The sequence below is a fragment of the Homo sapiens genome, chromosome 18 (genome assembly GCF_000001405.40).
Source record: "Homo sapiens chromosome 18, GRCh38.p14 Primary Assembly".
Taxonomy (NCBI): Eukaryota; Metazoa; Chordata; class Mammalia; order Primates; family Hominidae; genus Homo; species Homo sapiens.
In genome coordinates, this window is record NC_000018.10 from 6572581 (window position 1) to 6590239 (window position 17659).

At 40.1% G+C, this 17659-nt stretch overlaps 2 long non-coding RNA genes across 2 annotated transcripts in view, besides 1 other annotated feature; one reads left to right on the forward strand and one right to left on the reverse strand.

Moving 5' to 3' along the window:
• Positions 1–17659, forward strand: part of LINC01387 (long intergenic non-protein coding RNA 1387) — a 79238-nt gene that overhangs the window by 61165 nt on the left and 414 nt on the right. Inside the window, exons 3-5 of the long non-coding RNA NR_120518.1 lie at positions 3410–3524; positions 16231–16287; positions 16867–16895. This is a non-coding gene — a long non-coding RNA (long intergenic non-protein coding RNA 1387). The remainder of the gene's footprint in view (positions 1–3409; positions 3525–16230; positions 16288–16866; positions 16896–17659) is intronic.
• Positions 1–17659, reverse strand: part of LOC107985176 (uncharacterized) — a 78185-nt gene that overhangs the window by 3602 nt on the left and 56924 nt on the right. The gene's annotated exons all lie outside the window — the stretch shown is intronic.
• Positions 3398–3624: a silencer, noted in NCBI's record as "fragment chr18:6575977-6576203 (GRCh37/hg19 assembly coordinates)". NCBI's record gives its function as "represses an EF-1alpha promoter that drives an FKBP-Casp9 reporter gene in an ReSE screen in K562 erythroleukemia cells {active_cell/tissue: K562}" and the evidence as "EXISTENCE:reporter gene assay evidence [ECO:0000049][PMID:32094911]".

Sequence of the window (17659 nt, forward strand, 5' to 3'; positions counted from 1 at the left end):
TGCCCAAGATAGGTGGTAATATCACCTGAAGGGAGGCTATGGGAATCATATAAAATAATGCATTTAAAGTGCTTATTGAGCAGACACTGTATAAATAGTTCTTTTGAGACAAGAATTTTGCTCTTGTTTCCCAGGCTGGAGTGCAATGGTGTGATCTCGGCTCACTACAACCTTCGCTTCCCGGGTTTAACTGATTCTCCTGCCTCAGTCTCCCAAGTAGCTGGGACTACAGGCTTGTGCCACCACGCCTGGCTAATTTTGTAATTTTAGTAGAAACAGGGTTTCCCCATGTTGGCCAGGCTGGTCTCGAACTCCTGACCTCAGGTGATTTGCCCATCTCGGCCTCCCAAAGTGCTGGGATTACAGGCGTGAGCCACCGCGCCTAGCCTATGTTTGGTTGTTTTCTTACTTAGGTCTCTCTTGCTCCCCAAAGAGTTTAAAGCATCTCTCCTTTAGAATCTCTCAGCAATCTTACACTCCAGGTTGATATTATTGCATGTGAAGCTGGACAAATTGAACCTCAGCTGGAGCTTTAGGTGCAGCAAGCTAATTTTTACTTCCTTTATTTAAGACAATTTAAGGAAAGTACAAGCCACTGAGCAAATGTTTAGTTGCTCTTGAGCACACAGCACTGCCTGTGCGCTGGATGGTGGGGGGAAAGAGAGGGAGGGAACAAGGAGCAGAAGCAGCACTACCTGCAACCGGGAGATTTGTTCTGGTTGCTATAGACGCTATAGAGGCAATGTTCAAAGTCATTGACAGTCTCTCTAGTCTTCTCGTGACTTTCCCAAAGGTTTTAACTCAGTGACTACACACCACTGTGTGTACTACACACCAGGGTATACTACACACCAGGGAATATGAGAACACTACATACTAACCAATGCTTTCTCCCTGAGAGGCAAACACAGAAAAACCACAGTGAGACATTGGGTACCCAGAGGTATTTTTTGCACACGTTTATTTCTACTGAGGGTCATTTGAGCTCCAGTTTGACCAAAAGTATTTTAGATGATCTTACATTTTATTTATTTTTTTCAGATCTTAAGCCACATAAATGTGTTCTCAATTTGAAGAGAAAAGTTATTCATTAGCTTATCTTTCAGTCAGCTTGCATGCACTTTCTGCTCAACTAATTGTCATGTTTAGTGATTGCATTTACAACATTCATAGAAATAAATGATGCATGCATTTCTTATGATGTAGTAAACTTCAGCTGAAGGCCTTCAAAATCTGAGAGACACCACTGGCAAAACCTGAGCGTTGCAATTACAGGTCCAAGAAAGACCCATTCTATTTTATCTGTATAGTAAAAATTATAGAGAGAATTTCTATTTATTTATAATTCATTAGTGGCTATACCTTGGGATCCCTAGAAGCTACGCATTTGTTTTCAAAGCCTCTCTGGGATTTAAAAATCCCTTGAGTGAAGAAGGAATGCATCCCAGTTGTATGGAAAAGTTCCTTATCTTGGGTGGTCATTAATGGGATCAAAACAATGCCCAACGCCTGCTTTGTCAGGAAAAAAAAAAAAAAAAAGACGGTCGTGAGCCACACAGATGACATCGAACTTCAGCATTGTCAGTCAAACCTTGATGTTTCTCACTCTTAAATCTTAGTAGGAAATGTGAGTTAGTAAATACATGAAAGGAAGTAATGATTCCTTGTTGTTGTTTCTATGATTCAAACAGAAAACTACTAATATTAGTGTTTCAGATACTTTTCTCTTTTTTTTCCTTTAATAAATTACCTAGGAGTAAGCTTGAAAGAGTAAGCAAGAGGCTGTCTACAGTGCAAAGTCACCCAGCAAAATGGGAGCAGCCTTGCAGAAGGAGCAAGGCTCCTTTCAGAGGCACCTGGGTGGATAAGCTCACCCTGTTGGTGGCAGCTAGGAAAAGGGGTCACTAGTGCTCGGTGTTGTTGGATCATGTAACCTTCCTGGTCACCATCACCAGTCCTGAGCTGGAACTGTAACTTAGGGTGTGGCATAAGAGTGTAGAAACTTGAGCTTTAGGACCGGACAGGAAGACATTCCGGGAACCAAAATTGTATAAATCAAGAAGAAAAATGTTTTGGTATGACAAAGCAAAGTAATAGGTAGTACACTCTTTACAATTAAATGTCAAATGTCAACAAAATATGGAACCAACAGTAAAAACAAATGGATATACCTCAGCATATACTGTGTACTAGCTTTTTATGCTGACCTATTGCAAACTTATTTAGGCCTCTCTCCGCTGCACAGCTGTTGGTTTGTTTTGTTTTGTGATCTGATTCTTAAGCCTCTCCTCTCTCACTCTCTCTCTCTCTCTCCTTCTGATTGTTGAATTGTGGAAAATACTGAAACCTATCTATAGTTCTAAAATTCCAGGATAATTGCTTCTCATCTATTCATGCAGATCATCTATTCACACAACTTATTATTAACATGCACATAGGGAAAAATATTTCTGATTTACTACTTTTTGACATTCAGCCTTCTGTTCCTCAAATAATCAAGGTAATCATTCCTTTTGAAGCATCCCCTATTCCCTTCATCCCTAAATCAATGTGTGTTTCTGTTCCCTTTCCTAGGCCAGTGCCTCTGCCTGGAAGTTCCCAGGCAGCCTGGATTCCACTCCATAGTAGTAGCATTGCAAGTTACTAATGCTCCCTAGGCCTCGGTTTCCTGGTCTTTGAAATGAGAGAAAAATAACAATAATAGTAATAGCTACCTCATGAGTTACTAGATTGACAGATATATAATAGCTAATATCTACCATGTTAGGCATAGTCCTAAGTGCTGCTCATAGATTGTCTAGTTCCTTCCTCATAGCTATCTTATTTACCTCTAAATGGGATATTGTTATTATCCCATTCAACACATGGCAAAATTGACATTTAGAGAAGTGAGCTAACTTACCCAACTACACCCAGCTATTAGTAGTAAATGTGGGTCGGGTGCGGTGGCTCATGCCTGTAATCCCAACACTTTGGGAGGGTGAGGCGGGTGGATCACCTGAGGTCAGGAGTTCGAGACCAGCCTGACCAACATGGTGAAACCCTGTCTCTACTAAAAATACAAAATTAGCCAGGTGTGGTGGCAGGTGCCTGTAATCCCAGCTACTTGGGAGGCTGACGCAAGAGAATCGCTTGAACCCAAGAGACAGAGGTTGCAGTGAGCCAAGATCATGCCACTGCACTCCAGGTTGAGCAACAGAGTGAGATTCTGTCTCAAAAAAAAAAAAAAAACTAAATGCGCAGCTGGGTATGAACTCCGGAAGTCTGCATCTCAGGTCTGCCCTAATATCAGTATATTCCTATCATGAAACTATATTCATTATATTTGTAGCAGAGTATGTGATGCACAGTACTTGCTAAGTCAATGTTTATTAATTTCTCTTTTTCATAACTTTATCATATTCCTTAGAATTCAACCCAGCCAGCAAGACGGAGGGCCTCCCAAATGCTGCGATCTGCTCCGTGCTGCTCTGCTGGGCCGTCACTGCCCCCTGTGCGTTCCTGCGGGCGAGGTCTTCTCCCAGGTAATTGCTAGTTTACTGCTCTCTCCCACTAGCCTGTAAGTCCATTGAGAACTTATTAAGAACAGCATCTCTCTCAGCTCTGCGCCCTAAATGCCTAACACATTTTAGGGATTCCACAGAAACCTGGCGAACAAACGAGAGGACATATGAATGTCTTCCTTTGATCCTTCTCCTGGAGCAAGCAGTTTTCCCCACATTTCTCCATGAAGCGAGGCTTCTTTCTGAGCATTGGCCTGCTGTCATCTCCTAGAGATCAATGATGATTTTAGAGATAATAAAGATAATAGAGATCTGGGATAGTATTTTTTTCTAACCAACTACAAACAAACTCAACATTTTACTAGCAAAGCTCTGCATGTTTTTTGTTGTTGTTAAAGAACCAAACCCTTTTAATGATTTTTAAAATAATGTTAAGGAAAACAAAATAGGTCTCTGTAAATGTTTTATCTAAAATGAATAAATTTCTGAAAGTTCACAATCTTTATCCGTGCTACAATGTCATCAGGATATTTGTTTTATTGTGTGTTTTGCAGTTTCTGGTAATAACCCTCCCATGTTCTAGTGGTCTATTTTTACAATGTATCTTAGAAAAAGAGGGAGAACTGTATGTTTCTAGCAGGCAGAGTTGAATACTGTCATATTCCCTAAAATTTTTTCATTTTGTTGAAACAATTCTGAGGCACGCACCATTAGATAGATTGATTATTAGCTCAACTGTTAGTCATTTGGATGCATGACACCATTGAGCTTAGCAGGAGTTGAGATGGCCGAAAATGACTCAGAATGAATTTGGATGCAGCCAATCACAAACCAGGTCTCAAGAGCACTGTTGCCTGCTCTCAGTCTGCCAGCCTGGACCACATCACCTCAGTCATCCATCAACTCTGGGATCACTGTCCTACTCAGTGGCCTGCAAAGTCAGCTGCCCAGATCCTAGCAGGTATGCAAGAAAGAAAATATTAGAACTTCTATTTATGGTTACTTTAATACTTTACCAAAGAACAAAATTTCAGCAAACTGAGTTTTAAAGATCAAATTGGCTTTTATCAGTGATTCATGAACTGGGCAGCATTCGGTCTACAGAATAGGCAGGCACTCTGCTGGGTGTGGCACAGCAGTCATTTTTTGTAAGGTAGTTTGAACAGAAACAAGGAAACAGCAAGTACAAAAAGCGGAATGGTTAACATCAGGTTACGTTTCTTGAATAAGTTAAAGCAGAGGGGACTCCATCATGAAATGAGTGAGTCCATTTTGGACTAGTTTGTTGGGGTCTAATGCAGGAGCTCAGTCCAAATCGATGGCTGTATTAGGCTGTTTTCTGTTGCTTATAACACAGTACCCAAAACTGGATAATTTATGTAAAAAAAGGAACTTAACTTCCTACAGTTATGGAGGCTGTGAAGTCCAAGGTCAAGAGGCCGCATCTAGTGACAGTCTTCTTCCTGGTAAGGTCTCTTTGCGAAGTCCCCAGGTGATGCAGGGTATCACATGACATGGAGCTGAGCATGGTGATGTGCTGGCTCAGATCTCCCTTCCCCTTCTTATAAAGCCACCACGTCTCTTCCTGTGATAACCCATTAATCCATGAATAAATTAATCCCTTCTTGAAGGAAGAGCTCTCATGATACAATCACCACTTAAATGCCCCATGTTTCTTTTTTTTTTTTTTTTTTTTGTAGAGATAAGGTCTTGCCACATTGCCCAGGCTAGTCTCAAACTCCTGGACTCAAGCAATCCTCCTGCCTCAGCTTCCCAAAGTGCTGAGATTATAAGCATGAACCACTGCAACTGACCCCATGTTTCAATACAGCCACATTGGGGAATAAGTTTCCTACACATGAAATATAGGGGACACATTCAAACCATAGCAGTGACCTTTCATAAATTTTATTTAACAGCTTTTTTTTTTTTTGAGATGGTTCTTGTTCTATCTCCCAGGATGGAGTGCAGTGGCATGATCTTGGCTCACTGCAACCCCTGCCTCCCAGGTTCAAGCAATTCTCCTGACTCAGCCTCCCAAGTAGCTGGGATTACAGGTGCCTGACACCACACCGGCTAATTTTTGTATTTTTTGTAGAGATGGGGTTTCACCATGTTGGCCAGGCTGGTCTCGAACTCCTGACCTCAAGTGATCCACCCACCTTGGCCTCCCAAAATGCTGGGATTACAGGCATGAGCCACCATGCCAGGCCTAACAACTTTTAAAGTTCCATTTTTGTGTATATTTTTAAATATACACAATATATTCAGAGAGTAATATATATTTATAGCTTATAAATAAATATACATGCATTAGAGATTCTCAAAACATTTCTATGAGTAGGTTGCATCCCTGATAGAAGAAAAAAAGCAGATCTCAAGCCATGAAGAATGTATGAAAAGCTAGAGGTCAACCAGAGAACCCAGTGCATTTTATTGGCTAGGTGTGATGTGTGTAATTTTTTCACCACAGGCTCAGGCAGAGTGTGAGACATTTGCAAGTGGAAGAGCAGGAGATGGTGGGCCTCAAGTGACTAGGAGAGCGGGGACTGGGCACTTTGACAAGTAAGGAGACTACCTAGGCAAGGCAACTGGGAATCTACCCAAGTTAGTCTTTCTGAAAGATAATTCTGCTTCCATTTAATTTCCTTTGAAAGAAGAAGAAAGGTTTTCTTGGAAAATCATTGCAGATTATCTATGGAATTAGTAAATCTCTATCTTGAGTCCTATCTCTTTAAGTAAATTCCGAAATGGTTTAAATTCCCAAGCTTAATCTTTCAAGAAAATCTCCTGTATTGTCCTCACACTGCAGAATGTGTCTGTAAGGGGAAGAAATAAACTTGAAAAACCAAATTCTTTTGTAATAATAATCTTGAAACTCTTTATCTCTATTTGATGCCAAGGAGAGAGGGGGTGACTGCTTCTCAGGAACCCTAGGGAGATGAGAACTCACAGGTTGTTTTCAGGTTCATTTCTGCTGACCGAACATGAAGACCTAACTCTCTGATCCTACCTGTGTGGGGATCAGGGAGGGAGGTGTGCTGCAGTGAATGGGATGAAGTGAACTGGATCAGAATGTCACTGGATAGGATGGCTCCCCATTTTCTTTAGAAATAATCATTTGGAAAGCTAGTTAGTTGATGTATCAAATATTTTCCCCCGAGACTCAGACTCTCAGCCACTTCTGTATTTCCTTCCTTTTATGCAATCACTTACCTTGCCTGAAATTCTATTACCTAAGGCAAAATTATTGAATAATAATTACTTACTTGATCTTTACTTTTCAAATAAAATAAGAAAACCTGAAGACCATTGTTTTCATTTAGGATTTCTGTTTGAAGTGGAAATTTTCTAGGTATATGAAACTAGGTATGTTTTTTATTTTAAAATTGTGTGGTTTATTTTTAAAGGATGGTTCAGTGTCCCCAGGCCAGATATTTTGAACCTGGTTTCCCGTATTAAGCAGGAAGGAAATCTGCAGTTTAACCTCAAGTTATGCAGCCTCAGAGGTTTGAATTGAAATCAGGGCTAAAATAATACATATTACAAATGACAGAAACACCTCAATTGTCTGGGAATAAATCTCAGGGAAAGAGGAGAGAAACAGGGGGTCAAATCAACTGAAGAACAATTTCCTCCCAATCTGTTGGACTATCAAAGCTATTTAACATGAAATGGCTAGGGACCTGATCATAATTAGAGCTATTCACTGCTAGGAAGCTTGCATCATCGTTTAAGACGTGAATAAGTGAGTCTTGGTATAATACCACGCAAAGAAAAATTTTAAAACCTCGACAGCATTTCAAGACAATTAAATTTACATTTTATGAATGGACAAAGAGGAAAATGTTAATACAGAAAAGGCCATGGCCACGCATTCACCGTTGGGTCCACTTAGCATTCTGCTCATCAAGACACTTGTCTTTGGAAGATTGATGACTGGTTGATATAACGTCAAATAAAATAAGATTTATTGCTGGCTTCTGATAAATGCCTTCGAAATGCACAGGGAAAACCACTATTTTATTTGTCTATTTTCTCATACTTAAACAATATAGTTAAAAAACAAAAGCCTGCTATGATAGGAGGAGAAGGAAACAAACAGAGTCCGTTGAAACTTTCAAGCTAAACATTCTGCCTTTAAGAGAGTAGGAGTGTTTGATGGTCTTCCAAACACAGGGGCTACAAGGAGAATTGGCTAGAAATGATTAAACCAGATGTCTATGCTTTTCAGTCTTAAGAAGAGACCATCCACACATACTTTCCCTGAATTATAAATTTTATTTTACCTTCCTCCATTTCCTAAGGCTTTGATCTATCCTCTACACCTCCTAAAAATCATTTAATATGTATCGAGGAGCATGCAGGTACAAAAATGGACTGGCTGAGTGGCAGAGAGATGATAGCAGCTCCCAGCAGAAATGGCTCTATGCTTTCTGAGATCAACATTTAACACATGAATAAGAAGGCTACAATCCATGACAGGATGAGTCTAGAGGGAATAGAGGCTTTCACTTACCCTGTTCCATCATGCATGGGCAATTTTATAGCCACAGACTGTGTTTAAAACTTCTAAGCTTATCTCCACATTAGTAGTTAGAAGATCCATTATTTGGCTGCTTCTAAAAATAGGTGTTTTGTTGTCTCTCAACTATAAACAGGTTAGCCTTTACAGGGGAAAGCACTGTGATAGAATGACCCTCTCTGAACTTCCCTGGTGTAGAACTAGAGCAGCTGAAATAGAAGAAAGCACCACTTAGAACCACATGTCAGGAGCACGTCAATATTCTGTCCATATTTTCAGAAATGCAGCTCGCCCTTTGACAAGCTAAGGAACTTAGCTGCGTGTTTTTACTTAAACTCTGTCTTCCGAGCCATCCTTGTTCCCTCTTCCTCTCTGAACAAAGATTTAGTGAGGGTATATTATGTCCCAAGCAATGTGCCAGGGACGAGAAAGGTCATATGCCCTAATGCCAAGTGAATGGGAGCATATTTCAGGTCGTCCTTATTGCCATCTGATGCTCCACATCACTGGTGGGTTAGGTATGTTTGTCCTTGTTTACATGGAAGGACATAGTTCCAGCTGTATTGCTGAAGTTATGGAATAGGAAAGCATTCTGAAGCCTGGGCTTTTACTACCCACACCTCCTACTTTATGCCCTCGTCCCATCAAGTCAGGCATCAAAGGTTGCCTATTCACACCCTTTAAGTCTCCCTCCAATCCATTCTCTCTTCCCTGCCAGTCTTGAGTTTCGTTTCTTATTATTGATTCTGGAGACTGAGTATCTCCCGTTCCATCTCCTCTCTCTCCTTTAATCGGCCTTGCATATGACCACCACAGCAATCTCCCATTGGCAGCAATGGAGGAGGCATTTCTTTTCCAATTGTCCAGATTCTCCTTGATGTGGCCTAATTTATCATTCCAGTAGAAACTCTGACTGCCCTCTAACAGGCAACACAATGCTTGCTTTATCTTTAATCACATTGTCTTTTTTCCCTTTTCTGTGCCTTTCTTCGTTGGATTCCTATCTTCCAGTGACTTGCCCACCCAAGTTAGTGCATGGCTTCTGGTCTCCCAGAATCCTTCATACAGACCTCTCTTACAGCACTTAGCACAAGGAATTATACATGTTGTTCGTGTTTCTGTCTCCCTATTAATGCAATATCAGATTTTTAAGAATAAGAACTTTCTATTACCAGCCAATGACAGGGTCCCTGGTTTAGAGCGGCATTCAGCGTATGTGAAGAAATCCCCCAATATACTAACTGAGGAGTCAGAACTCAGCCAAAACAGCATTGTTTTTGTAACAATGGGTGCTTTAAAAAATACCACTTCTGAGGACTGGGGACAAGATGGCCAACTAGATGCAGCCAGGAAGTGCTGCTCCCACTGAGAGAGACCAAATTATTGAGTAAACCACCATAATTTGAGCAGATCTTTGGAGAAAGATGTTGAGAGTGGATGAGACGGCAACACTGAAGGTGAGGCTAAAAAGGAAGGAAGCTGGGATCTCTGCACAAGGTACCTGGATGCCAGGGCCAGTTCCCGACCCCAAATGTAACCTGGGAAAGGGGTGAGTGAGGGAACTGAAGGATGACTCACTCTCATCACAGACCTTTGGGATCCTAGCTATAGGTGACCCTGCCTCCCCCCATGGATGTGTGAGCTGGCAGGGGTTTCTCCCAGGAAGCAGGCAGAGACAGGCCTTTGGGTGGCATGGAGCCTGGAAGCTCTTGCACACTGGGCAACTCCAGGGGAGAGTGGCCATAAATGCTCATCCCCCAGGGCTCCCCACTCCCATCAGGGAGGCATGGACCCCAGCTGACCTCAGAGCCGGGAAAGAGTGGGGCCAGCTTCCCTGTGGGACTGGGGTACAACTGCTCTGAAAGGCCACCTGCCTGCCGGCCCCTCCCAGGGTTCATACCTAGCCACCTTGCAGAAGCAGATGCACAGTGCAGTTCCTGCAGCTCTGCCGGTGTTGCTGCACTTGAGTATTTTCCTGGTGGCTCAGGAGCACATCAGATTCCCTAGTGCAGCCAGAACCCAAACCCAAGCTACAGGACATCCTGGTGCCTCCAGGGCTGCAACACGCAATGTGGGAGTACAAAGCAGAGATCTGTGGCTGGCACTTGAGTGAGCGAGGAGCTCCCCACCCTCAGAGCACTTAGAGGGGTGAGATGCATCGGTTCCTAGGCCAGGGCAGGAGCAGGGCATGCCTGTCTCCACATGGTGGTCTAGAAAGAATGTGGCATATCTCCCTGCTGCAGCCTCTGCCTCAGAGGGGCCTGTGGCTCAGAAAACCTAACAAAAGAAACAGAGGCATAGTGTCGGGGATCAGAGGGGCTCCCTAAAGGCTCAGGAGTGGACCTGGTGAGCACACCTGTGAACGTGAAAAGGACAAAAGAGCTGCATGGCTGGGTATTAACCTAGCTACTGGCCACTATTCTTAAGCTCCATTGACTAGATCACAGGCCAAACTACAACACGAAAAATTTATCTTGCTAATATATACAGCCATGAAACCAAGTGCAAGAATTCACACATACATGAAGATCCTGTACAGAGCCGTGACCCTCTGAAAGCATCCAGAAATGAAGCCAACAGACTATACTCAACTTACACCACAATTAAAGGAACACCAATACCCCCCACCCCAGATAAGAAAGAATCAGCACAAGAACTCTGGCAACCCAAATAGCCAGAGAGTCCCCTTACCTTCAGGTGAGTCCACTAGCTCCCCAGCAATGGTTCTTAACCAGTCTGAAATGATTGAAATGATAGATGTAGAAGTCAGAATCTGGATGGCAAGCAAACTCACTGAGATTCGGGAGACAGTTGAAACCCAATTCAAGGAATCCAAAGAACCCATTAAAACAATCCAAAAGCTGAAAGATGAAATAGCCATTGTGAGAAAGAACCAATCTGAACTTCTAAAGCTGAAAAACTCACTATAAGAATTTCATAACACAATCAGAAGTATTAATAGCAGAAGATACAAGCAGAGGAAAGAATCTCAGAGCTCAAAGACCAGTTATTTGAATCAATTCAATCAGACAAAAATAAAGAAAAAAGAATTAAGAAAAATGAACAAAACCTCTGAGAAATATGGGATTGTGTAAAAAGATCAAACCTATGATTCACTGGCATAGCTGAAAGAGGAAAGAGAATAGGCAACTTGAAAAATATATCTTAGGATATAGTTCATGAAAATTTCCTTAATCTTACTAGAGAGGTTGATATGCAAATCCAAGAAATACAGAGAACCCCAGCTAGATACTATAAAAGATGACCATCCCCAAGGCACATAGTCATCAGATTCACCAAGGCTAATACAAAAGAAAAAAATCTTCAAGGAAGCTATAGAGAAGGGTCGGGTCACATACAGAGGGAATTTTGTCAAGCTAGCAGCAGACCTCTCAGCAGAAACCTTACAAGCCAGAAGAGATTGGGGGCCTATTTTCAACATCCTTAAAGAAAAGAAATTTCAACCAAGAAGTCTATATTCTGCCAAACTAAGCTTCATAAGTGAAAGAGAAATAAAATTCTTCTCAGACAAGCAAATGCTGAGAGAGTATATCTTAACTAGACCAGCCTTACAAGAGGTCCTTAAGGAAGCATTAAACATGGAATCCAAAAAAATGATACCTGCTACCACAAAAACACACCTAAGCACACAGCCCACAGGCACTACAAAGCAACTATGTGATCAAGTCTACATAACAACAAGCTAACAACACAATGACAGGACCAAAATCACAGATATAAATACTAACCTTGAATCTAAATGGGCAAAATTCCTCACTTAAAAGACAAAGTATGACAGGTTGCATAAAAAACAAGACCCAACCATCTGTTGTCTTTAAGAGATCCATCTCACATGTAATGGCACCCACAGGCTCAAAGTAAAAGGAAGAGGAAAGACTTACCATGCAAGCAGAAAACAAAAAAAAAGAGCAGACATTGCTATTCCTGTATTAGATAAAACAGACTTTAAAACAATAAAAATTAAGGACAAGGAAAAGCATTCCATGATGATAAATGGCACAATTCAACAAGAAGCCTTAACTATCCTAAATATATATGTACCCAATATTGGAACACCCAGATTCATAAAACAAGTTCTTCTTAGCCTACAAAAAGACTTAGACAACCACACAACAATAGTGGGAGACCTCAACACCCCACTGGCAGCATCAGACTGATCATCAAGGCAGAAAACTAACAAAAAAAAATGGGACTTGAACTTGATACTTGACCAATTTGACCTAATAGAGATCTACAGAACATTCCACCCAACAACCACACACATTCTTCTTATCTGCACACAGAACATATTCTAAGATTGACCACAGGCTAAGTCATAAAGCAAGTCTCAATACATTCAAAATAGTTGAAATCACACCAAGCACACTCTCAGACCACAGTGCAATAAAAATAGAAGTTGATATCAAGCAGATCTCTCAAAACTATAAAAATACATGGAAATTAAACAACATGCTCCTGAATAATTCCTGGATGAACACTGAAATTAAGGCAGAAACAAAAAGTTATTTGAAATCAATGAAAATAGATACACAACTTACCAAAATCTCCAGGATGCAGCCAAAGAAGAGTTAAGAGGAAAGTTTACAGCCCTAAATACCTTTATCAAAGGGTTAGAAAGATCTCAAATTAACAATTTAATTGTGCACCTGAAGGAACTGAAACAAAAAGAATAAACCAACTTCTAAGCTAGCAGAAGAAAATAAATAACTAAAATTAGAGAACTTAATAAAATTGAGATGCAAAAATTTCTACAAAAGATCAATGAAACCAAAGTTGATTATACAAAAAAAGTTGATAGACTGTTAGCTATATTAACAAAGAAAAAAAGATAAGATCCAAATAAGTACAATCAGAAATGACAAACATGACATTACAACTGATTCTACAGGTATACAAAAATCCTCAGAGAATACTATGAACTCTATGCACACACATTAGAACATTCAGAGGAAATGGATAAATTCCTGGAAACACACAATCTCCCAAGATTGAATCAAGAAGAGACTGAAATACTGAATAGATCAATATTGAGCTCTGAAATTGAGTCAGTAACTTAAAAAAACCTACCAACCAAAAGAAGCCCTGAACCAGATGGATTCACAGCCTAATAGTACCAAATATATAAAGAAGAACTAGTATCAATCCTCCTGAAACTATTCCAAACAATCAAGGAGGAGGGACTCCTCTCTAACTTATTTTATGGAGCCAGCATCAGCCTACTGCCAAAATATGGCTGACATGACAAAGAAAGAAAACTTCAGGCCAACATCCCTGATGAACGTAGATGCAAAAATCCTCAACAAAATGCTAGTAAATTGAATCCAGCACCAAAAAGTTAATTCACCATGATCAAGTAGCTTTATTACTGGGATGCAAGTTTGGTTCAACATATACAAATCAATAAATATGATTCATCACATAGCAGAATTAAAAGCAAAAACCATGTGATCATCTCAATAGATGCACAAAAAGCTTGCAATAAAATCCAATATCCCTTCATCATAAAAACCCTCAACAGACTGGCTATAGAAGGAACGTACCTCAAAATAGTAACAGTCATCTATGCCAAACACACAGCCAACATCATACTGAACAGGCAGAAGCCACAACCATTCCCCTTGAGAACTGGAGCAAGGCAAGGAGCCCACTCTCCCCACTCCTATTCCACATTGTACTGGAAGTCCCAGCTAGAGCAATCAAGTAAGAGAAAGAAACAAAAGGCATCCAAATAGCAAAAGAAGTCAAACTATCTGATATGGTTCTATACTTAGAAAACCCTAAAGACTCTATCAAAAGACTACTAGAACCAATAAATGATATTAGCAAGATTTCAGTATACAAAAGTCAATGTACAAATATCAGTAGCATTTCTATACACCAAAATGTCCAGGCTGAGTCAAATCAAGAACATGATCCCATTTATAATAGCCACAAGGAAAATGAAATATCTAGGGATATAGCTAACAAAGGAGGTGAAAGATCTATACAAGGAGAACTTCAAAACACAGCAGAAAGAAATCAGAGATGACACAAAAATATGAAAAAATATCCCATGCTCATGGATTAGAAGAATCAATATCTTTAAAATGGCCATACTGCTCACAGAAATGTACAGATTCAATGTTATTCCTATCAAACTACTAACATTATTCTTCACAGAATTAGAAAAATCTATTCTAAAATTCATATGGAACCAAAAAAGAGCCTGAATAACCAAAACAATCCTAGGCAAAAGGAACAAAACTGGAGGCATCACACTACCTGAGTTTACTCAAGGCTTCAGTAACCAAAATATCATGGTATTGGCACAAAAACAGACCCACGGACCAATGGAACAAAGTAAACAACTCAGAATTAAAGCCACACACCTACAACCATCAGGCCTTTGACAAGGCCAACAAAAACAAGCAATGGGGAAAGGACACCCTATTCAATAAATGGTGCTGGGATAACTGGCCAGCCATATGCAGAAGAATGAAACTAAACCCTTACTTTTTACCATATACAAAAATTAACTTAAGATTGATCAGGCTGGGCATGGTGGCTCATACCTGTAATCCTAGCACTTTGGGAGGCGAGGTGGGCGGATCACAAGGTCAAGAGATTGAGACCACCCTGGCCAACATGGTGAAATCCCATCTCTCCTAAAAATACAAAGATTAGCCTGGCGTGGTGGCACACTCATGTAGTCCCAGCTACTCAGGAGTCGGAGGCAGGAGAATCACTTGAATCCAGGAGAAGAAGAGGTTGCAGTGAGCCAAGATTGCACCACTGCACTCCAGCCTCGGCAACAGAGACAGACTCCATCTCAAAAAAAAAAGAAAAGATTGATCAAAGATTCAAATTAAATGTAAGACCTCAAACTATAAAAATTCTAGAGGAAAAGCTAGGAAATACCCTTGTTAACATTGGTCTTGGTTATGAATGTATGGCCAAGTGCCCAAACAAGATTGTTACAAAAACAAAACTTGACAAGTGGGACCTAATTAAACTTAAGAGCTTCTGCACAGCAAAATAAACCATCAACAGAGTAAACAGACAACCTATAGAAAGGGATAAAATATTCACAAACTATGCATCTGACAAAGGTTAATATCCAGAATCTATAAGAACTTTAAACAAATCAACAAGCGAAAGACAAATAACTCCATTAAAAAGTGGGCAAAAGACAAGAAAAGACACTTCTCAAAAGAAGACATGCTAGTGAACAACAAATATATGAAAAATGCTCATCATCACTAGTAATCAGAGAAGTGCAAATAAAAACCACAGTGACATTTCATCTCATACCAGTCAGAATGGCGATTGTTAAAAAGACAAAAAACAGCAGATGCTGGCAAGGCTCCAGAGAAAAGGGAAGGCTTATACACTATTGGTGAGAATGTAAGTTAGTTCAGCCACTATGGAAAGTAGTGTGGAGATTTCCCAAAGAACTTAAAACGGAGCTACCATTTGACCCAGCAATCCCATTACTGGGTATATACTCAAAGGAGTATATGTAGATCATTACACCAAAAAGACGCATGTACTTGTATGTTAATCGCTGTGATACTCGCAATAGCAAAGACATGAAATCAACCCAGGTGCTCATTAATGGTGGATTGGATAAAGAAAATGTGGTACATACACATCATGAAATATTATGCAGCCATAAAAAAGAATGAAATCATGTCTTTTGCAGCAACCTGGATGGGTCTGGAGGCCATAATCCTAAGTGAATTAATGCAGAAATGGAAAACCAAATACCATATGCACATGTGGACATAAACATGGGAACAATAGACACTGTAACTCCCAAAAGTAGGGGGAGAGAAGAAGGCATGGATTGAAAAACTGCCTATTGGGTACTATGCTCAGAACCTGGGTCCAACATACTCATGTAACAATTCTACACATGTACCCTCTGTATCTATAAGTAAAAACCGAAATTTAATTTCAAGAACATTTCTTTTAATATTCATAATAACTCACAGGAAGTGTGGTATCATAAAGTACAGAAAATCAATGGTATATTTCCTGAAAACATAGAATTATTCATCCTAGCTCCTAGACTGTAAATATCACTTGAGTTTTGGCTCAAATAAGTTTATCTTTAATCAATAACAAGCTGTTGGAAAGAAAGAATGGATAAATGAACATGTGGAATTTAATTACTTGAGATGTTTACTTTCCTCAAAATAGAAGCGAGACAATGAACAGGACAGAAGTGAATTCATTGGCCAGACCCTCAAACTGTTGGTGAGTATCACCACCAAAGATCTGCGGGCAGTGTGTGTTGGGGAGTGTTTAATAACCAGCTCACCAGGATAAAAAAAAAAGCCCAATTTGTGGTATTTGCCAATTTCCAAAGTGTAAATACTCCTGCTATGCTACCAATGCAGTCACTGAACATGGAGTTGGGAACTGGATCCAGCCAACTCCAGCATACCAGGCCTAGTACTGCAATGGCCAGTATTGCTACAGTCTGCTGTGCACACATTGGAAGCTCCAGAAATCCTCTTTTTCTGCGTGTTGTCATTGTCATTATTTGTTTGTTTTGGTTAAGAGGTTGGAGTTTAATGTCAGACCAATCTGGCAGGAACACTGGCTCTGCCATAGAGGTTTGATGCTGGGTAAGTTGCTTTAAACGCTCTAAACCTGGGCCTCCTCATCTGCAGATAAGACTGGTAAGTCTAGTGGCAACCTTATAAGGTTGTTAGAGAAACACATAATACAAGCAAAGAGTTTTACTAGTACCTGGCACTTAGTGAGTGTTTAGCAAATATTATCTGTTGATGATGATGATGCTAATAATAACATTCCTTGGTTCTCATGCAGGTGAAGAGGAACGTTTCCTTGGAATTAAGGTACTGAGTTTTGGTGTTAGTGTCATTTGGTAGCTTCCTGGCTTGTTCCTTTTGGCCTCTCCATGCTGCCTGTTACTGTTTGTCAGACTAATCCTGAGATCCCTTTTGTCTCATTCTTCATCTCTACCTTCTGTGGATCTCTGGGCACTGATTTGTTGCACCGATTTTGTACAACAAACTTTTGTTATATATATTTTCTTAGTTTTGACTTTCATTCACTTGGCTAGTCTCATCACTGCCCAAATCCCTTGATTTGGAAGAGTACTCTAAACATTTTATCAAAAATATACAGCTGATCATTTTTTTCTGAAAAAAAGTCGTTCTCAGTGGTTATCATCATTTTCCATTTTTATCAACTCTAATCTTTAGAGTTTCTATGCTATCTCATTTAATCTCTAGGTAGGTACGACTATTCTCAATATATAGTTGAAGACACTGAGGCATACAGATGTTAAGTAATTTGCAATAGGTCACACAGCTTGTGGGAAGTTGAAATGTTTAAAATGAGATCAGAACCTTGGTAGACTTGCCTCTGCAGCCTGCACTTCCTTCGTCTGAGCTCTATTCAGCCCCTATTTATAACTGTGGTAAAATAATTCCATTCTGAAATATGCTTCACATTATATGGATTCAATTAACTGCAATCTGATGTAACTCTAAAATCTTCTATTATGATATTTTCCACTTAGAGTTTGTTCTCTAGCATTTTGTTAGAGTTAGAATCATCAAGCAGCTTATTAATGATATAATGAGTGACTAAGTGG